Source organism: Homo sapiens, chromosome 7 (assembly GCF_000001405.40).
Source record: "Homo sapiens chromosome 7, GRCh38.p14 Primary Assembly".
Taxonomy (NCBI): Eukaryota; Metazoa; Chordata; class Mammalia; order Primates; family Hominidae; genus Homo; species Homo sapiens.
The window spans coordinates 99,650,600-99,672,562 of record NC_000007.14 but is presented as its reverse complement, the minus strand read 5'-3'; the positions used below and the strand labels follow the sequence as shown (position 1 = coordinate 99,672,562).

The 21,963-nt window shown below is 39.5% G+C and overlaps 2 protein-coding genes across 16 annotated transcripts in view; one reads left to right on the top strand and one right to left on the bottom strand.

The window, feature by feature from the left end:
- The window catches only part of ZSCAN25 (zinc finger and SCAN domain containing 25), a 121,090-nt gene that overhangs the window by 65,473 nt on the left and 33,654 nt on the right, over positions 1 to 21,963 (bottom strand). For 7 of the 11 annotated variants that reach the window (XM_047420018.1, XM_047420016.1, XM_011515909.3 and 4 more), the window contains one exon: positions 21 to 3,468. The exons of the other annotated variants lie outside the window; for them this stretch is intronic. In XM_047420018.1, the coding sequence (XP_047275974.1) occupies positions 3,413 to 3,468 (56 nt within the window). In that variant the 3' untranslated portion in view covers positions 21 to 3,412. Of the gene's footprint in view, positions 1 to 20; positions 3,469 to 21,963 lie in introns of those variants that run through there. 11 annotated transcript variants of the gene reach the window in all.
- The window catches only part of CYP3A5 (cytochrome P450 family 3 subfamily A member 5), a 31,803-nt gene that overhangs the window by 7,434 nt on the left and 2,406 nt on the right, over positions 1 to 21,963 (top strand). For 3 of the 5 annotated variants that reach the window (NM_000777.5, NM_001291830.2, NM_001291829.2), the window contains 7 exons: positions 5,498 to 5,611; positions 5,874 to 5,962; positions 7,249 to 7,397; positions 8,468 to 8,595; positions 9,681 to 9,747; positions 11,904 to 12,064; positions 19,784 to 20,010. In NM_000777.5, the coding sequence (NP_000768.1) occupies positions 5,498 to 5,611; positions 5,874 to 5,962; positions 7,249 to 7,397; positions 8,468 to 8,595; positions 9,681 to 9,747; positions 11,904 to 12,064; positions 19,784 to 20,010 (935 nt within the window). Of the gene's footprint in view, positions 1 to 684; positions 4,740 to 5,497; positions 5,612 to 5,873; positions 5,963 to 7,248; positions 7,398 to 8,467; positions 9,748 to 11,903; positions 12,065 to 19,783; positions 20,011 to 21,963 lie in introns of those variants that run through there. The other 2 variants (NR_033807.3, NM_001190484.3) reach the window with 2 other exon arrangements.

The following is a 21,963-nucleotide window of genomic DNA, read 5'->3' as shown; positions in this document are numbered from 1 at the left end:
GAAATTTAAATAATGATTGATCCACTGATTAAATTTTTATTTTGAAAAAAACATATATTCACAGAAGGTTACCTAAAAAATGTACAGGAAGGTTCCATGTACTCTTCATCCTGTCCCGCCCAGTGGTAACATCTTGCAATCTTGTATATTGCAATATATATCTAGTATATTCATATTATCAGGTTGGCACAAAAGTTAAAATGGCAAACTACAGGCTGGGCATAATGGCTCATGCCTGTAATCCCAGCACTTTGGGAGGCCGAGGCAGGTGGATCACGAGGTCAGGAGTTCGAGATCAGCCTGACCAACATGGTGAAACCCCATCTCTACTAAAAATACAAAAATTAGCTGCGTGTGGTGGCATGCGCCTGTAGTCCCAGCTACTCAGTAGTCTGAGACAGGAGAATCGCTTGAACCTGGGAGGCGGAGGTTGCAGTGAGCCGAGATCACGCCATTATACTCCAGTCTGGGCAACCCAATGAGACTCCATCTCAAACAACAACAACAACAACAACAACAAAAACCGGCAAACTGCAATAACTTTTGCACCAACCTAATACTATAGTACAGGAAATTGACTTTGATATAGTTTACAGAGCTTTTCAGATTTCACCAGTTTTACATGCCCTTGTTTGTGTGTGTTTATGTGTGTGGGTAGTTCTAAGCAATTTTTCACATTCGTAGATTTGTGCAACGACCAGCACCATCAAGATGCAGACCCATTCCGTCACCATGTGGCTCCCTCCTGCTGTCCTACAGTCACAACATGGAGTTTGTCTTTTTCTCTGACAGGTTCTATATCAGAGCAAACTTTTATTTATTTGAGGAGGCCAATGTATTAATATTTCCTTTTATGGATTGTTCTTTTGGTGTTAAGTCTGAAAATCCTTTGCTTAGCCCTCCTTCCTACATTGCTTTTTCTAAGAGTTATATAGTTTAACACTTTACAAAATGTAACTCTATTACCCATTTTGTGTTAATATTTGCATAAGTTATGAGATTTAGATCAAGGTTCATTTTCTGTGGACTATGGCTGTCCAAATGTTCCAACACCATTTTGGAAAGGTAGGCATATTGTCAAAACTCAGCTGAGTATATTTTGTGAATCTATTTCTTATTGTTTACTCCTCCACTAATACCACACTGTGGTGACTCTAGTAGCTGTACAGTAACTCTTAACATCATATAGGGCAATTCTTTCCACTTTATTGATTTATATTTTCAGAATGGCTTTAGCTTTTCTTGTCCCTTGCCTTTCCATAAAAATTCAGAATAAGCTTGTAAGTGTCTACAAACAAACCTGCCATAATTTTGATAAGAATTAAAGCAGAGGTGTCCAATCTTTTGGCTTCCCTGGGCCACAGTGGAAGAAGAAGTGTCGTGGGCCACACATAAAATACACACACACACACACACACACACACACACACACACACACACACACAAATGGTCTGTGTATAGTTTTCATTATATATCTACCACCACAGATAAGCAAAAATGTCCTTGCATAATAATCCTAATTATGCACTGCCCCATTCAGAGGGTCTTTCAAAATCATTGAACAGGTTCCAAGTTTGCAATCACTGATACAGAAAATGTACATATCTAGCTAAACTTCACTACTTTTTTGATATTTTTTATTATAAAAGAAAAGAGAACAACATAAAACTAGTGGGGTACTTGACATTGTTTTTGAGAAACTAATCCATCAGTATCTGGCTTGATGGAAGTAGTTGCAATTCTCAGTGAGTTCTCAAGGTGCTCATCAGATATTTTGGTTCTAATTTTACTCTTCGTGTTCTTCATCCTTGAAAATAGTAGCTCACAAATGTAAGTGCTGCCAAAAAGCAATGACATGAACAAGGTGTGATTGTGAAGCAAGGGATATTTGTCATTGGGAAGACAGGTCTTACAAAAGTCCAGTAAAGAGGCAAAATCAAATTTTTCTATAAGTTGAACATCAGATTGCAGCTCTAGGCATTCCATTTCAAAATTGCCAGGTAACATATATATGTCGACTGAAAATGGAGTTGCAAATATACCAAAATATTGATGATTTTTTCAGAAATCTTGAAATACCTGTTTTCAAATTCCTGTATCAAATTGAAAAGCAAGGCTGCGTATTTTTGGCTGTTCACAGGACCATGTTTAGCCAACATGTCGAAATGCATAAAATTGTTTGCCTTAATTTGAGCTTGCCATAATTTCAGTTTCATATGGAATGCTGTTATGGTTTGAAACATTGTATTGTTAAGTTGGTTTTCAACTTGAAGACACAGGTTTAACTCACTTAAATGGGCCGTCAAACCCACTAAAAATGCTAAATCTGTAAGCCAGTTTTCATTGTCAAGTTCTGGCACCAATTTTGTTTGATACCATAAACAGCTTGATTTCACATCACAAAGCATAAAATCTTTACATTTTGCCTTGACTTAACCATCTTACTTCTAAAAAGTGAATGACTTGCTAGAGTCAGCATCCATACTTTTAAGGAATTCCTGAAACTAGCGATGATTCAATTCCTGGGCCCTTGTGAAATTTACAGCCTTGATGACAATTTGCATGACGTTATCTACTTTTAAAGCTTGTGCACATGGATTTTCTTGATGTATTATGCAATAATACTTCATCAAATGTGAGTTTTGTGTGGCAACTGCATCATCTATTAATTGTACAAGTCCCTCTCTTTTACCTACCATCGCCAGGGCAGCATCTGTAGCTATATCACATATGTTTACAAAGGACAAAGAAAATTGCTTTAACATATTTTTCACTGCTTCATATAAATCTCTTGATTTAGTTGTGTCTTTTAATAGCATGGTGACATTTCGATTTCTTCAGTGACATTATATTCATCATCAATACCTCTAATAAAAATAGCAAGTTGTGCCGTATCTGTAGTGTCAGTGCCTTCATCCATCACCAAAGCATAAAATTTTAAATTAGCAGTTTTACTCTCCAAACGTCTTTCAATAGATTTCCCAATTTCTCCAATTCTCCTGGCTATAGTCTGGTGAGACAAACTGATTTTAGAAATATCAGTTTCTCAAGGCAAATAATATCTACCACATCTTCCAGACATTGCTTAATAAACTCACCATCAGTAAATGGTTTTGATTTTTTTGCTATTAAATTTGCTACCACATAACTAGGTTTTACCTTACGATTGAGTCCGAGTTGTAACTTTTTAAAAAATCTTTTTTGTTGAAAAGACAGACTTTTTTTCAGTTCTGCTATTTTGTCCTTACAACACATACACACCAAATTTGTCAGCACGTTTTTGCATATAATGCCTCTTCAAATTGTAGTCTTTGAAAACTGGCACAAATTCCGTGGAAATTAAGCAGAGTGCTTCGCTATTTGCCTCAACAAGAAAAAGTCATTTGTCCACTTTTCATTGAACAATCTTCCTTCATCCATAATTTTTGTTTTTTAGGGTTTTCTTTTTAAGACATTGTGGAAGCCATTCTGGAATTAAAAGCATTATAATAGATAAGCAACTATATTTACTTTTATTATGGAAATTAACAGATAGGAAAATAGAACAGAAAGCAAGGTTTAATAATCAAATAAGAATACTTACATGTCTTCTAAATAATATTAAACACCTATCATCTACAAAGGTAGGTTGAAATATTATTGATAATTGCTGGGTTTTACTTGCCAAATTGCCACAAACACACCTAATACCTGACAGTGTCAATTCAACTGTCCGTGATTAGAAGATAACACACTGGAAGTCGCACACCACCATAAAACTGAAGCCACACATGCGTACAAATGGCGACAGTGTCTGGTGTACAGCAGCGCTCTGCCTTGTCCAGAATACACACTTGAATTCTTTGTCACAATTCACTTCACGTGGCACTGCAATAGCGTCCTCTCGCTCTTTGTTAGTTAATTTTAATGGCTTTTAATTTCTTCTTGCTGAACTGTTTGCAATTATAATGCAAATTATGGATACTAGTCCATTATTTGTGGATGTGACATACTCTGATTACCCCTTTCCATTCCATTGTTGTCTACGAAGTTCACACTTGAGAATCACATAGTCAAATTACAAAATTACAAAAAAAATTGCAAAAAAACTCAAAATGTTTTAAGAAAGTTTCCACATTTGTATTGGGATACATTCAAAGCCATCCTGGACTGCATGAGGCCTGCAGGCCACAAGTTGGACAAGCTTGAATTAAACCAATAGAACAATTTGGGTATAATCTATATCTTTACTATGTTCAGCCTTTCATCCCGTGAATATAGTATGCCTCTCCATTTCTTTAGCTTTTATTACTTTCCTCAACATTTTATAGTTTTCAGCATAGAGGTCCTGTACATCTTTTGTTAGATTTACACCAGAAATATTTCATTTTTGTTGGAGTAACTGTAAATGATACTGTTTTTCTTGTATTTTCAGATATTGATTATTGTTACATAGAAATGTGAATAATTTTGTTTGTTGATCTTGTATCCTATAGCCTTGCAGAACTTACCTATTCGTTCTAGAAATTTTTTTGTATATTCCTTGACATTTTATACATTGACAATTATGTCACCTGAAAATAGAGACAATTCTATTATTTCCTTTCCAATCTGTATGCCTTTTATTTCTTTTTCTTGTCTAGTGTATTAAGACATCAGGTATGCTCTTTAGTAAGAATGTTGAGAGTGGGCATTTTTTAGTTCTTCTTGATCTTGGAAAAACCATTCAGTCCTTCATCATTAAATGTGATTTAACTGAATGATTTTTTTACAGATTGTCTTTATCAAATGAAGGAACTGTCTCTCTCTTCCTAGTTTATTGAGATTTTATCATGACAGCTGGAAGTACACATTTTAAAACAAAACATAGTTGTGGAAGATAAGAGAAAGTTCCAAGCATGCTGGCTTGATAGTCCAGCCCCAAGTTGGGAAAAGTAATTATCCCTTTCTTTTTCCTTCTATTTATGGAATAAAAAATTAAGAGAAAAGAATTTTCAAGGAAATTGCATTATTCCTTCAAAACAGGTTTCTAGTCTTTAAGTATTACCTACTTTTCAAAAAAAAATCACCACATCATGGCATCCCTTTTTCAAGTTGCCCATGCTGTAGGTGTATTAAAGACAGAGCTGGTCTGAGGCAACATACAGTCTGCCCATCTGTCACCAATCCTTTTCTACTCTGCACACTCCTGGGGAAGGGCTAGGTCTTGTTCCTGTCTATTCCACTGGAAGAACAGTTCCCTACCACGTGGAGCATTTGCAATTAAAAGGAGACTGAGATATAGAGGCAGGAGACCACACCAGATGGCTGGGTCTCCCCACTCCCACCCCCGCCCCACATACACTCAGAAGAGGCTAGGCATCTAGGATCTCCATTGAGCATCTTGAATATGGCTTGCCATAATATCATATACAGTCAATAAATATTTGTTAAATAAGGATGCCTCTTCAATATATTTTGTGCAACCATGAAGATCACCACAACTAATGTGAGAAAAAATGTTTCTGTTGAACTCTAGTCTTTAGGCCCAGTGGGATTTATGAAAAGTGCCATCTCTTTAGCTGAGGATGAAGAATGGAAGAGAATACGGTCATTGCTGTCTCCAACCTTCACCAGCGGAAAACTCAAGGAGGTATGAAAATAAGATGAGTCTTAATTAGAAATGTAAAGAATGAATCTGGGGACAGGTAGAAAGTAAGATCACAGTCCGTTTCCAAGGGGTAGTCCACTGAGTTCGAGCTTCCTAAAAATGGTCTTTTATCTTTATGTACAGAAAAGACATCACAAAATTCATTACAAAATGTCACTTACTGCTCCATGCTGGAGAAAGCCATATCCTTCTGGGACTTGAGTCTGCACATTTAACTACAGGTACTGATCTGTTTTGTGCTTAGATGTTCCCCATCATTGCCCAGTATGGAGATGTATTGGTGAGAAACTTGAGGCGGGAAGCAGAGAAAGGCAAGCCTGTCACCTTGAAAGAGTAAGTAGGAGCACAGCCATGGGGTTCTGAGCTGTCATGAGCCCTTCCAGCTGCCTGCCATGGAGTCGACAGTCGCACTGTTGGGTTACTCCAGTGACCAGACAAAAGCAGGGCAGCGCTGCAACTCCAAAGAGCCACCTAAGAGGGAGTGGCTCCCATGAGGCGGCAAGTCAGCAAGGGAAAAGGGCCTTCTCTCCTGTGCACAGGAGCCAGGATTTACTTATCTGTTAACTTGTCACCATAAATATTCTGGGAGATTAAATACATACTTTAGAAATTAAAAAAACATGATTGTATCAAAGTTTTGAGTGTAGTGGATATGGAACTGTGGGTAAGCAAGCATTTGGTACTTGTTGCCTTGCATTGGGTAAGATGGGAAAGTTACAATGGGGAACTTGGAACAATTTCAATCCCTTCATGGTTTTTCTGAGAATATCAGCAAACTATGAACTATTAAACCTTCCCACTACTTCCTTTTCCTCCAATCTCAAAAAAGAAAGGGTGCTAGAAATGCTATGTGTAGAGCAAGCCTATTATTTGCTGTCTACAATGGTATGTGCTTCAATTATGCAGGAACGACAGGTGTAATCTGAGCCTGTCCTGTTCAGACTTGGGACATGTGGTCACTCAGTTTTGGGTTCTCCAAATCAATGTTGGAGAGATCTATTTTTTTTAACCAGAACATTCTTGATTGTCACATCTTACAAAAATGACTCTGCTCTCAGCGCAACTTCAGGTCAGAGGAGCTGGGGATAGTGGGGTTTTCCAGAGCATTAGCAGGGAGTGTAGAGAATAAAGGATGATATTTCTAGGAACTCAGAACAGGGTGTTACTGTTTTGTAAAGTGTTGAAGAGGAATTGGCTCTGGGCATAGAGTCTGTAGTCAGACAACGCCACCTTTCTTGAATCCACTAGGAAGAGTTAATTATTCTACTCTTGTTCTGCTGAAGCACAGAGCTTACATATCTTATATCATCCACACTCAACACATGCTACTGTAGTTGTCTGATAATGGGTCTCTGTCTTCCTATGACTGGGCTCCTTGACCTCAGAGGTGAGTCTAACTCAGCTTGGTGTCTCCATCACCCCCAGCATAGGGCCAGCTCCATCACTGGCACCAGATAACCACCTTCTGAGGGAGTAGATGGAAGATGATTCAGCAGATAGTTCTGAAAGTCTGTGGCTCTTTATGTGTCTTGACTGGATATGTGGGTTTCTTGCTGCATGTATAGTGGAAGGACGGTAAGAGGTGCTGATTTTAATTTTCCATATCTTTCTCCACTCAGCATCTTTGGGGCCTACAGCATGGATGTGATTACTGGCACATCATTTGGAGTGAACATCGACTCTCTCAACAATCCACAAGACCCCTTTGTGGAGAGCACTAAGAAGTTCCTAAAATTTGGTTTCTTAGATCCATTATTTCTCTCAATAAGTATGTGGGCTATTATTTCTTTCTCTCTTTTTAAAAATAACTGCTTTCTTGACATATAATTCACATATCGTATAATTCATCCACTTAAAAGGTACAATTCCATTGTTTTTAAGATAATCAAAAATATGTATGACCATTACTATTGTAAACTAAAATGTTTTTGTCAATCTAGAGCCCTCACACACTTTAGCTGTCAACACCCCACCACAAACCCCACTGCCCTAAGCATCCAATAATCAACTTTCTGCCTCTATAGATTTGCCTATTCTGGACACTTCATAGAAATAATATCATTGATTTTTCTCTGTTGTTTTTTATTCTCTATTTCATGAGTTTATTTTAGTCTGTTATTTTCTTTCTTTTGCTGGCTTTAGGTTTCATTTGCTCTTCTTCTTTTAGTGTTTTGTGGTGTAAATAATTATAATCAATTTGAGATATTTTCTTCTTTTAAATTTAGATATTACAGCTATAAATTTCCCTCTGAGCACTGGTTTGGCTACATCCTGTGTTTTGGTACATCATGCCTTCTTTTTGTTCATCTCAAAACAATTTCTTGTTGCCCTTTTGATTTCTGCTTTGACTCACTGGTCACTTAAAACTGTATTGTTTAACTTCCACAAATGTATGAGTTTCCCAAATTTCTTTCCCTTATTGATTTCTAGTTTTATTCCATGGAAGTTGATGTACATATGCTGTGTTAATTCTATCTTGACTATCATTTCCTGAACAGCATGATTAAGTTAAGCAGCAGATTATGGTCTACATTAATCCAAAAACTCTAGTCCAATAGATAAAGGCTAAGAGGTCAGGGAATTTAATTCTATTACTTTGGTCACTCCAAAGACTCAGAAGGTGCCATTGATCTCACTGCTGTAGTGGTGTTTCCTATGTATAGACCTGCCCTTGCTCAGTCGCCGGCCTGAAAGAAGGGCAAACATGATAAAAGGAATGGGTTCCAGTTGAGAATCATGATGTTCTTATTCTTATTACTGGTAGAGAAAATTATAATTGCTCCAGGTAAAGTTTGCATTTTCAATGATTTCCTTTTGTTTGTTTTGTTTTTCCCACAGTACTCTTTCCATTCCTTACCCCAGTTTTTGAAGCATTAAATGTCTCTCTGTTTCCAAAAGATACCATAAATTTTTTAAGTAAATCTGTAAACAGAATGAAGAAAAGTCGCCTCAACGACAAACAAAAGGTAAAATCTGATGGTGGTTAAATGACGATGTTTAGGTTTTGATAAATTTAGATTTTATACACATGATAGAGCATGTATCTGTATTTTTAAAAATAAAGACAGAGAACTTATGTTTAGAACAAGAGAAGCCATTTGGTAGAAATAAAGAAGGAGATTGGGGAAGGAGATGAGAATGAGTCAGAGAGATAGCATTTAAAACTTGAAATCAGGCACAACAATTAGTATGTCATGATATAAACAGTATTGAGATAAAATTTTACCACTTCTCTTCCCTTTAATAAATTGTCAAAGGATAAAGTTTCCTGTTTGAAAATATATTTTACTGGTATTGTGCTTTCCTCATATCACAGATTGGTAAAGAATCATTTTAAGTCCAAGACTCTTATTTTACATATTCTGCAATTAAAGGTCCTATGAGGCTACCTGCCGACTGCTGACATGTAGTGTGTGGTAAATGTGAGTGTTTCACAGCCTGGAGTGAACAGGGGTCTTCTCTGAGAATTGAGGTTGCAAGGCTGGCTAACTCAGCTTTGCCTTCACGAGCCCTAGAGGCCAGCCGAAGGATGTCTGCAGGTCAGGGAGACAGGACCAGGTAACCCAGCTGTCACTGAAGATTATATAGAGTTTGAGAATGTTGGAATATTTGAAAATGCTCCCCCAAAAAAGCTGCTGATGAGTTCTGGAAATGTCAGGAGATTAATCTATACGGACACTGCTGAAGAAAAAGGTAGAAGAATAAAAGATCCAGTACTTCTTCCTGGGTAAGCAGTTATGACCAGAGATGGAACCGGCAACTCTTTGGCCAGAAAGCTGTATCCAAAAGACAGAGAAGATGAGAAACAGGGAGGGCAAAGGCGAAAAAGCAATTGGACATGATAGCTAGATTTGTTTCAGGAAAACATCCTGCTTTCCAAGGATTTAGATGAATGTTTTTGTTCACTGGTGACTCAGGTAACACGTCTTCAAGAAGCCATAGGGAGGTTGAGGGAGGGAAGTCAAGAAGGGAGGTTGAGGACTGCACTTTTGATTTACTTCTGACTTCACGAGTCACTTTCTGCCAAAGAAATCTCTCCTTTTGCTTCTAGCACCGACTAGATTTCCTTCAGCTGATGATTGACTCCCAGAATTCGAAAGAAACTGAGTCCCACAAAGGTAACCAAGGAGTGCTTCTGAGGGCTACTGGCGGGGACACTAAGAGGGAGGGCCTTGTTCTGAAAATGTGCAGGAAGTATTCCAGGAAGATGAGAATTTTTGCCACATAGCAGAACAACACACATTTAGATGTTATAAATGGTAGCTGGAGGCACTTTCCAGAAGCCCACAGGTATAGCCATGTTCCAGGCTGAAAGGGCAACCCTAAGCAAACCTAGAATGCTTGGAGGACAGTCAGTGGTTTGTGGATCACCTACATGAGATCAAATGCCAGTTCTCAGCCTCCTCCAGATCCACCAAGTGAGAACCTCTACTTGGAAATTTATATCAAACATACCGATCAGGAAGCACACTATCCCAGTAAGGGTGATTTTAACTGGCAGTACTTGAAAGTGTGTTCGCAAGGTTAATCTACTGCAAAGTTTTATTTTTCCCTTTGAAATGCATAAGTAACTAATGGGGGACACCTCTGATACCATGTAAATCTACTTCAATCTTCAGTCTTGTATCTACTAGTTTTATGACCCATGGATGGTTTTAACCAAAACCATTATTACTAAGACAGTGGCAAAATGATAACCATGGTCAATTTCAAGCTACCAAGATTTGGCAACCATCTCACAAAATTTTTGAATATTTAACAATTGGTTCTAGAGAGCAGGACTCAGCAGACTCCAGTATACCACTTTAAACATGTCCATGTCTACATCTACTTCTGTCTGTCTATCTATCTGTCAATCATCTATCTGCCTATAATTTATCAATTAATCATCTATCTATCTCAACAAAACTTGCTGTGATAAAGAAAATAGTCTATCATTTCACTGTTTCATATAGAAATCACTAGACACATATGGCTATTGAGTACTGGACATGTGGCCAATGCCACTGAAGAACAATTTTTAAGAGTATTTATTTTTAATTGAATAAAATTTGAATTTAAATAGCCACATGTGGATAGTGGCTACCAGATTGGACAGCAGAGCTCCCAACTTTAAAATTACAGTTCAATTTCAACTCAGTATAATGGGGTTCAATGTAACTGAGTAAAATAATTGGATGGTTGAATTTACCCACAGCAGCATACAGAAATATTCACTGATAAATCAGAACTCTGTAGACCTTTCTCACACTCATTTTATATTGTGTTTGGTTGTGAGTTACATGATTGCTGCAGGCACCATATTTATTTCTGTGCTCCAGGTCTCTAAAGGTCCTAATCCAGTCCTGACCAAACAGACTAGTGATGGACCATCGTGAGCTTCTCTCAGGAGAAATATCAAGAGGGAGGCCAACCTGTAATCATAAGAACTTCTGCTATTTTAATGCCATTCATCAGACTACAGTCAATCACCATGCTTCTGGCTTTTTGTCTATCTCTGCTGTCTTGTACATCCTGAGATAGTCCATTCTGAGAACTGTACCCTAGATCTTGTATTGCCTGATGCCTGTCAAAGATGTAATCCATGCTGCTTAAGTGAGGTTGTGCACACAAATCACCATATCTCCTGCAAGTTTGGATTTTGATTCAGTAGTTCGATGGTGGGGTTTGAGATTCTGCATTTCTAATAAGCTCCCAGATGTGGCTGGTGCTGCTGGTCCATGAAACACACTTTGAGTAGCAAGAGGTGATCTGTAGCTCAGTATTGGTCCTTTAAGTTCCCTCAAACATATATAGAGAAAAGGTCCTAAATATTGCAAATTCTCTCAAAGTTTGTCAAGCTATATTGGAATTCTCTCAAAGTCTGTCAAGCTCTATTGTAGAAAATCAAATTTTTATTGGGAAAAAGCCTACCCCATATTTACTTACAGATAAAGTACTTTTAGGATCATTCAAGGCACACACCCATAACACTGAGTATGTAAGACAGAAATGCTCTCTCTGGAAATTACAGCAGTGCTGGTGCTGGGATGCCATGATGAGGAGTGTGTGGCCCACAATCATGTAGACCTTGGGAAAACCTGGATTAAAATGATTTTGCGTCATCCTGGCCCTGTATAAGATACATATCAGAATGAAAACCACTCCCAGTGTGACTTTGAATTGCTTTTCCATTTTTTCTTCTTGGGATTAGAGAGCTTCACTTAGATTTCATCTAAGCTGTGATGTTGTACGTTGACCTGATTTACCTAAAATGTCTTTCCTCTCCTTTCAGCTCTGTCTGATCTGGAGCTCGCAGCCCAGTCAATAATCTTCATTTTTGCTGGCTATGAAACCACCAGCAGTGTTCTTTCCTTCACTTTATATGAACTGGCCACTCACCCTGATGTCCAGCAGAAACTGCAAAAGGAGATTGATGCAGTTTTGCCCAATAAGGTGAGGGGATGACCCCTGGAGATGAAGGGAAGAGGTGAAGCCTTAGCAAAAATGCCTCCTCACCACTCCCCAGGAGAATTTTTATAAAAAGCATAATCACTGATTCCTTCACTGACATAATGTAGGAAGCCTCTGAGGAGAAAAACAAAGGGAGAAACATAGAGAACGGTTGCTACTGGCAGAAGCATAAGATCTTTGTACAATATTGCTGGCCCTGGTTCACCTGTTTACTGTTATCACAATAATGCTAAGTAAAAAAAAAAAAAAAAAAAAAAAAAAAAAAAGGAGTGTGGCGAGAAGATGGCCAAACAGGAACAGCTCCAGTCTACAGCTCCCAGCGTGAGCAACACAGAAGACGAATGATTTCTGCATTTCCAACTGAGGTACCGGGTGCATCTCAATGGGGATTGTTGGAGAGTGGGTGCAGGACAGTGGGTGCAGTGCACCCAGCCTGAGCCAAAGCAGGGCGAGGCATCACCTCACCTGGGAAGTGCAAGGGGTCAGGGAATTCCCTTTCCTAGGGGTGACGGACAGCACCTGGAAAATCAGGTCACTCCCACCCTAATACTGCGCTTTTCTGATGGTCTTAGCAAACGGCACACCAGGAGATTATATCCCGCGCATGGCTCGGAGGGTCCTACGCCCATGGAGCCTCGCTCATTGCTAGCACAGCAGTCTGAGATCGAACTGCAAGGCAGCAGCAAGGCTGGGGGAGGGGCGCCCGCCATTGCTAAGGCTTGAGTAGGTAAACAAAGCTGCCAGGAAGCTCAAACTGGGTGAAGCCCACCGCAGCTCAAGGAGGTCTGCCTGCCTCTGTAGACTCCACCTCTAGGGGCAGAGCATAGCCAACCAAAAGGCAGCAGAAACCTCTGCAGACTTAAATGTCCCTGTCTGACAGCTTTGAAGAGAGTAGTGGTTCTCCCAGCACACAGCTGGAGATCTGAGAACAGACAGACTGCCTCCTCAAGTGGGTCCCTGACCCCCGAGCAGCCTAACTGGGAGGCACCCCCCAGTAGGGGCAGACTGACACCTCACACGGCCGGGTACTCCTCTGAGACAAAACTTCCAGAGGAATGATCAGGCAGCAGCATTTGCGGGTCACCAATACCGCTGTTCTGCAGCCTCCACTCCTGATACCCAGGCAAACAGGGTCTGGAGTGGACCTCCGGCAAACTCCAACAGACCTGCAGCTGAGGATCCTGACTGTCAGAAGGAAAACTAACAAACAGAAAGGACATCCACACCAAAACCCATCTGTACATCACCATCATCAAAGATCAAAGGTAGATAAAAACACAAAGATGGGGGAAAAACAGCAGAAAAACTGAAAAATCTAAAAATCAGAGCACCTCTCCTCCTCCAAAGGAACGCAGCTCCGCACCAGCAACGGAAAGCTGGATGGAGAATGACTTTGACGAGTTGAGAGAAGAAGGCTTCAGACGATCAAACTACTCCGAGCTAAAGGAGGAAGTTCGAACCCATGGCAAAGAAGTTAAAAACCTTGAAAAAAGATTAGACAAATGGCTAACTAGAATAATCAATGCAGAGAAGTCCTTAAAGGACCTGATGGAGCTGAAGACCATGGCACGAGAACTACGTGATGAATGCACAAGCCTCAGTAGCCAATTCAATCAACTGGAAGAAAGGGTATCAGTGATGGAAGATCAAATGAATGAAATGAAGAAAGAAGAGAAGTTTAGAAGAAAAAGAATAAAAAGAAAGGAACAAAGCCTCCAAGAAATATGGGACTATGTGAAAAGACCAAATCTACGTCTGATTGGTGTACCTGAAAGTGACGGGGAGAATAGAACGAAGTTGGAAAACACTCTGCAGGATATTATCCAGGAGAACTTCCCCAATCTAGCAAGGCAGGCCAACATTCAAATTCAGGAAATACAGAGAACGCCACAAAGATACTCCTCGAGAAGAGCAACTCCAAGACACATAATTGTCAGATTCACCAAAGTTGAAATGAAGGAAAAAATGTTAAGGGCAGCCAGAGAGAAAGGTCGGGTTACCCACAAACACAAACCCATCAGACTAACAGTGGATCTCTCGGCAGAAACTCTACAAGCCAGTAGAGAGTGGGGGCCAATATTCAACATTCTTAAAGAAAAGAATTTTCAACCCAGAATTTCATTTCCAGCCAAACTAAGCTTCATAAGTGAAGGAGAAATAAAATACTTTACAGACAAGCAAATGCTGAGAGATTTTGTCACCACCAGGCCTGCCCTAAAAGAGCTCTTGAAGGAAGCACTAAACATGGAAAGGAACAACTGGTACCAGCCACTGCAAAAACATGCCAAATTGTAAAGACCATCGAGGCTAAGGAGAAACTGCATCAACTAACGAGCAAAATAATCAGCTAACATCATAATGACAGGATCAAATTCACATATAAAAATATTAACCTTAAATGTAAACGGGCTAAATGCTCCAATTAAAAGACACAGACTGGCAAACTGGATAGAGTCAAGACCCATCGGTGTGCTGTATTCAGGAAACCCATCTCACGTGCAAAGTAACACATAGGCTCAAAATAAAGGGATGGAGGAAGATCTACCAAGCAAATGGACAACAAAAAAAGGCAGGGGTTGCAATCCTACTCTCTGATAAAACAGGCTTTAAACCAACAAAGATCAAAAGAGACAAAGAAGGCCATTACATAATGGTAAAGGGATCAATTCAACAAGAAGAGCTAACTATCCTAAATATATATGCACCCAATACAGGAGCACCCAGATTCATGAAGCAAGTCTTTAGAGACTTACAAAGAGAGTTAGACTCCCACACAATAATAATGGAAGACTTTAACACCACACTGTCAACACTAGACAGATCAACAGGACAGAAAGTTAAGAAGGATATCCAGGAATTGAACTCAGCTCTGCACAAAGTGGACATAATAGACATCTACAGAACTCTCCACCCCAAATCAACAGAATATACATTCTTTTCAGCACCACACCACACCTATTCCAAAATTAACCACATAGTTGGAAGTAAAGCACTCCTCAGCAAATGTAAAAGAACAGACATTATAACAAACTGTCTCTCAGACCACAGTGCAATCAAACTAGAACTCAGGATTCAGAAACTCACTCAAAACCGCTCAACTACATGGAAACTGAACAACCTGCTCCTGAATGACTACTGGGTACATAACGAAATGAAGGCAGAAATAAAGATGTTCTTTGAAACCAACAAGAACAAAGACACAACATACCAGAATCTCTGGGCCACATTCAAAGCAATGTGTAGAGGGAAATTTATAGCACTAAATGCCTACAAGAGAAAGCAGGAAAGATCTAACATTGACACCCTAACATCACAATGAAAAGAACTAGAGAAGCAGGAGCAAACACATTCAAAAGATAGCAGAAGGCAAGAAATAACTAAGATCAGAGCAGAACTGAAGGAAACAGAGACACAAAAAAACCCTTCAAAAAAATCAATGAATCCAGGAGCTGGTTTTTTGAAAAGATCAACAAAATTGATAGAATGCTAGCAAGACTAATAAAGAAGAAAAGAGAGAAGAATCAAATAGATGCAATAAAAATGATAAAGGGGATATCACCACCCATCCCACAGAAATACAAACTACCATCAGAGAATACTATAAACACCTCTATGCAAATAAACTAGAAAATCTAGAAGAAATGGATAAATTCCTCGACACATACACTCTCCCAAGACTAAACCAGGAAGAAGTTGAAACTCTGAATAGACCAATAACAGGTTCTGAAATTGAGGCAATAATTAATAGCTTACCAACCAAAAAAAGTCCAGGACCAGATGGATTCACCGCCGAATTCTACCAGAGGTACAAGGAGGACCTGGTACCATTCTTTCTGAAACTATTCCAATCAATAGAAAAAGAGGGAATCCTCCCTAACTCATTTTATGAGGCCAGCATCATCCTGATACCAAAGCCTGGCAGAGACACAACCAAAAAAGAGAATTTTAGACCAATATCCCTGATGAACAGTGATACAAAAATCCTCAATAAAATACTGGCAAACCGAATCCAGCAGCACATCAAAAAGCTTATCCACCATGATCAAGTGGGCTTCATCCCTGGGATGCAAGGCTGGTTCAACATACGCAAATCAATAAACATAATCCAGCATATAAACAGAACCAACGACAAAACCCACATGATTATCTCAATAGATGCAGAAAAGGCCTTTAACAAAATTCAACAGCCCTTCATGCTAAAAACTCTGAATAAATTAGGTATTGATGGAACCTATCTCAAAATAATAAGAGCAAATTTATGACAAACCCACAGCCAATATCATACTGAATGGACAAAAACTGGAATCATTCCCTTTGAAAACTGGCACAAGACAGGGATGCCCTCTCTCACCACTCCTATTCAACATAGTGTTGGAAGTTCTGGCCAGGGCAATCAGGCAAGAGAAAGAAATAAAGGGTATTCAATTAGGAAAAGAGGAAGTCAAATTGTCCCTGTTTGCAGATGACATGATTGTATATCTAGAAAACCCCATCGTCTCAGCCCAAAATCTCCTTAAGCTGATAAACAACTTCAGCAAAGTATCAGGATACAAAATCAATGTGCAAAAATCACAAATATTCTTATACACCAATAACAGACAAACAGAGAGCCAAATCATGAGTGAACTCCCATTCACAATTGCTTCAAAGACAATAAAATACCTAGGAATTCAACTTACAAGGGATGTGAAGGACCTCTTCAAGGAGAATTACAAACCACTGCTCAATGAAATAAAAGAAGATACAAACAAATGGAACAACATTCCATGCTCATGGGTAGGAAGAATCAATATCATGAAAATGGCCATACTGCCCAAGGTAATTTATAGATTCAGTGCCATCGCCATCAAGCTACCAATGACTTTCTTCACAGAACTGGAAAAAACTACTTTAAAGTTCATATGGAACCAAAAAAGAGCCCGCATTGCCAAGTCAATCCTAAGCCAAAAGAACAAAGCCGGAGGCATCATGCTACCTGACTTCAAACTATACTACAAGGCTACAGTAACCAAAACAGCATGGTACTGGTACCAAAACAGAGATATTGATCAATGGAGCAGAACAGAGCCCTGAGAAAGAATGCCACATATCTACAACCATCTGATCTTTGACAAACCTGACAAAAACAAGCAGTGGGGAAAGGATTCCCTATTTAATAAATGGTGCTGGGAAAACTGGCTAGCCATATATAGAAAGCTGAAACTGGATCCCTTCCTTACACCTTATACAAAAATTAATTCAAGATGGATTAAAGACTTACATGTTAGACCTAAAACCATAAAAACCCTAGAAGAAAACCTAGGCAATATCATTCAATACAGAGGCATGGGCAAGGACTTCATGTCTAAAACACCAAAAGCAATGGCAACAAAAGCCAAAATTGACAAATGGGATCTAATGAAACTAAAGAGCTTCTGCACAGCAAAAGAAACTACCATCAGAGTGAACAGGCAACCGACAGAATGGGAGAAAATTTTTGCAACCTACTCATCTGACAAAGGGCTAATATCCAGAATCTACAATGATCTCAAACAAATTTACAAGAAAAAAACACAACCCCATCAACAAGTGGGGGAAGGATATGAACAGACACTTCTCAAAAGACATTTATGCAGCCAATAGACACATGAAAAAATGTTCATCATCACTGGCCATCAAAGAAATGCAAATCAAAACCACAATGAGATACCATCTCACGCCAGTTAGAATGGCGATCATTAAAAAGTCAGGAAACAACAGGTGCTGGAGAGGATGTGGAGAAAACAGGAACACTTTTACACTGTTGGTGGGACTGTAAACTAGTTCAACCATTGTGGAAGTCAGTGTGGTGATTCCTCAGGGATCTAGAACTAGAAATACCATTTGACCCAGCCATCCCATTACTGGGTATATACCCAAAGGATTATAAATCATCCTGCTATAAACACACATGCACACTTATGTTTATTGCAGCACTATTCACAATAGCAAAGACTTGGAACCAACCCAAATGTCCAATAATGATAGACTGGATTAAGAAAATGTGGCACATATACACCATGGAATGCTATGCAGCCATAAAAAATGATGAGTTCATGTCCTTTGTAGAGACATGGATGAAGCTGGAAACCATCATTCTCAGCAAACTATGGCAAGGACAAAAAACCAAACACTGTATGTTCTCACTCGTAGGTGGGAATTGAACAATGAGAACACATGGACACAGGAAGGGGAATATCACACACTGGGGCCTGTTTTGGGGTGGGAGGAGTGGGGAGGGATAGCATTAGGAGATATACCGAATGTTAAATGACGAGTTAATGGGTGCAGCACACCAACATGGCATAGGTATACATATGTAACAAACCTGCACGTTGTGTACATGTACCCTAAAACTTAAAGTATAAAAAAAAAAATTCAAAAACCTCAGTGGCATCTAATGAGAAGCATTTATTGCTCACAAGACTGGATAGTGAGTTCTGCTGATACTGACTGGACTCACTCTGGTCTGGCTATGGTCTGAGGTAGCCTGGCCCTGGGGGCGCGATGGAGGCTGACTCAGCTCTCCCCACACCTGTCTCATGTTCCAGTCAGGTAGCCACTGGCCAAGAAGCCAAGCTAGGAACCAGGGTATCTGACTCCTGAGCTAAACTCTAACCCTCTACAATACTGCCTCCCAAATATAACACCAAGTGCTAGGTACATATCATCCACAGTTTTCAGACTTCTGCCCAAACTGGGATTCTTTTTAGTGTGAAGAGACCTGGCCTGTGGGGCTGACCCTGGTGTGGCTGTGAGGCAGACACAAAGGGACATTTACATCCAGTCCTGAAGATTACAGTCCAGCCCTGAAGCAACAACTAGGAAACTATTCCAAAAGGAGGGGATGGGGCTGAGTGTGGGGTTCTATTCTCTTCATAACTTTAACTAGAACTCAAATTGTGTACCTTGGTAGCATCCAATCATAAATTTATTTTGTCGTATTTGTGATAGAAAGGAACAAGTTTATCCACAAATTTATTTATTTATTTATTTATTTATTTATTTATTTGAGACAGGGTCTGACTCTACGACCCAAGCTGGAGGGCAGTGGTGCAATCTCAGCTCACTGCAAACTCTGCCTCCCAGGCTCAAGCCATCCTCCCGCCTCTGTCTCCTGAGTAGCTGGAACTACAGGCACACGCCACCACACCCAGCTAGTTTTTGTATTTTTTGTAGAGATGGGTTTTCACCATGTTTCCCAAGCTGGTCTCAAACTCCTCAAAAGAGTTACCAAGCAGGACTCTGCAACCAATAATCCTTGTGTGAAGAGGATATTTGCTCTTTTCCCTGTTTTTCTTTCTTGGTACAGATGTGTGACCTCTTTTTGAAAGGTGATAGTGACTTTGGTGTATTTTATTTGGTGGTAATGGTCATAGCCCCATTAATCACATTTCTTCCCATGAGAAAGAAAAACCACTACATGGTCATGCTAAGGATTTCAGTCCCTGGGGTGAGGATGGTCTTGAATATCTCCTACATTCATAACTCCTCCACACATCTCAGTAGGTCACTGAGCACATCAATGGACATGCCAGTTATTAAAATACTTCACGAATACTATGATCATTTACCAGTATGAGTTATTCTCTGGAGCTTCTAATACTTCAATAGTACTGCATGGACTCAGTTGAGAGTTAATTCAAAATCTCAGATTATCCAATTCTGTTTCTTTCCTTCCAGGCACCACCTACCTATGATGCCGTGGTACAGATGGAGTACCTTGACATGGTGGTGAATGAAACACTCAGATTATTCCCAGTTGCTATTAGACTTGAGAGGACTTGCAAGAAAGATGTTGAAATCAATGGGGTATTCATTCCCAAAGGGTCAATGGTGGTGATTCCAACTTATGCTCTTCACCATGACCCAAAGTACTGGACAGAGCCTGAGGAGTTCCGCCCTGAAAGGTACAAGTCTCCAGGGAAATGGAGCTCACCCTGACCCAGGCTGGTTCAAGCATATTCTGCCTCTCTTAATCTACATGACAATCGTGTGGTTGTACAATCATTTGCTTGTAAGTCTTTTTATCACAAAAAAGTGATAATTATCAAACTTTACAAACCACAGACTAGAAAAAACGAAACTACATCCATCCACAGTCCCAGCACAAGACAAAGATAATCAATTATGTCCCTGTGGGCATTTTTCTACGCCTATATAGATTTTTAAAAATTAGAATGGTATCACTTTTTATTTGGTTTGAATTGCTGCTTACTTGATTTAACAGGAAACTATCCACTGACCTATATTACTATAAATATACATATATATGTATATATATAAATATATATATATGTATATATTGCATATGCCATAAACCATTTAACCATGATGTTATTTCAGGTGTATAGGCTTTTTATTCCTTTCTGTTTTTTCTATGCTGTGCCCTTTAGCTCTCTGAATTTAACAGAAACTTTAAAACATGCTTCCACATTCCATTTGCTTTCAACGTTACTTGCTATTTCCTCTGTAGTAATTATAAGAGTGCAGGCTGAGGTCCTGAGAAGTCCTCATCCCTAATGGTTTAAGCCACTTCACTGAAGACACAAGACAGCACAGGTCCTCCTGGTCCTATCTGTGGCTGCAGTCCTGTGCCAGCTCCCTTATACTCTCAGTAGACATCTCACACACTCCTCCTTGGAGGTGTCTTGAGCATGCTCTTCTGGGAATTCAGGGACAAGGTCAGGCCTTAGGCACAGTTCGCACTCTGGATATAGTTGGTGTTTTCCCATTACTGTATTATTAAGCAAAATTTAGAATGAAATTTTTAGGGTACTGGCTGGTGATTCAGGATGCTTGGGATCTAGACTTTCATTAGCCCCTACCTGCAAGTTTGCTGATGGGAGGAACCTTGTCTTGTTGGTCATGGTGTCCCTAGTGCTAGCATGGAGTCTGCACATAATACTTGTTCACAGAGTAAGTCAGAGCTGACCAAGTTCTCTGTTTTCTGGAGTAGAGGACTTCTATGTTTCCTGCAAGCTCAGCACTTCCACCTCCTGTGGCTGCACTAATACGAAATCAGAGACCACTCGCTGTACTTCACTTTGAATCACTCAGTCACCAAAAAGATAGTGCTTGCCATGTGTCAGGAACTTGGCTAGGCAGGGAGAAATTCATATGATTTATATAAATCCATAAATCCATATGATTTACATAAATCCATAAATTCATGTGATATATACGTATATGTGTGTGTATATATATATTAGAGAATGTTTGACATATACACAAGTACATGTTACCGACACCAGCCTATAGAATAGTTTTCGTGCATCTCCATATATCTATCACTGGTTCCAACAGCCATCAATCCATGTTAGCTGCCCCATCCAAATGCCACCATCACCCTCCTCCTGACTATCATGTTATTTTGAAGCAATAGCCTGTAAATATTTCAGAATGCTCTCCAAAATATAAAGACTCCTGTAAAAACATATGACAACAATGCCATTATTACTTTCTTTGAATCAACATTTTTTCCTTAATATAATCAAATATTTAGAAATCAAATTTGAATAAAACATGGGTCAATCTTCAAAGAATTTATAGCTTAATGGAACAGATCAAGGAAAGCAGGGATGACACTACAGTAGGGTAGCATCATATGCCCATGTAACTTATGTGACTTAAACTATCCTGTAAGGGTGTGGGGGAGAAAGAGAGGAAGAGATGGAGAGAAGAAAAAGGAAGAGAAGGAGGAGGAGAAGGAGGCAGAGGAGAAGGTGGACGGGGAAGGTAGAGAGGAGGAGGAGGGGAATTAGAAAAAAAGAGATGACAGGAGAAGGAAAGGGAAAAATAACAACTTGAAATAGCACAAGACGTTTTCTCCTTCTCCTTTCTCAATGAGCATGTGACCAACA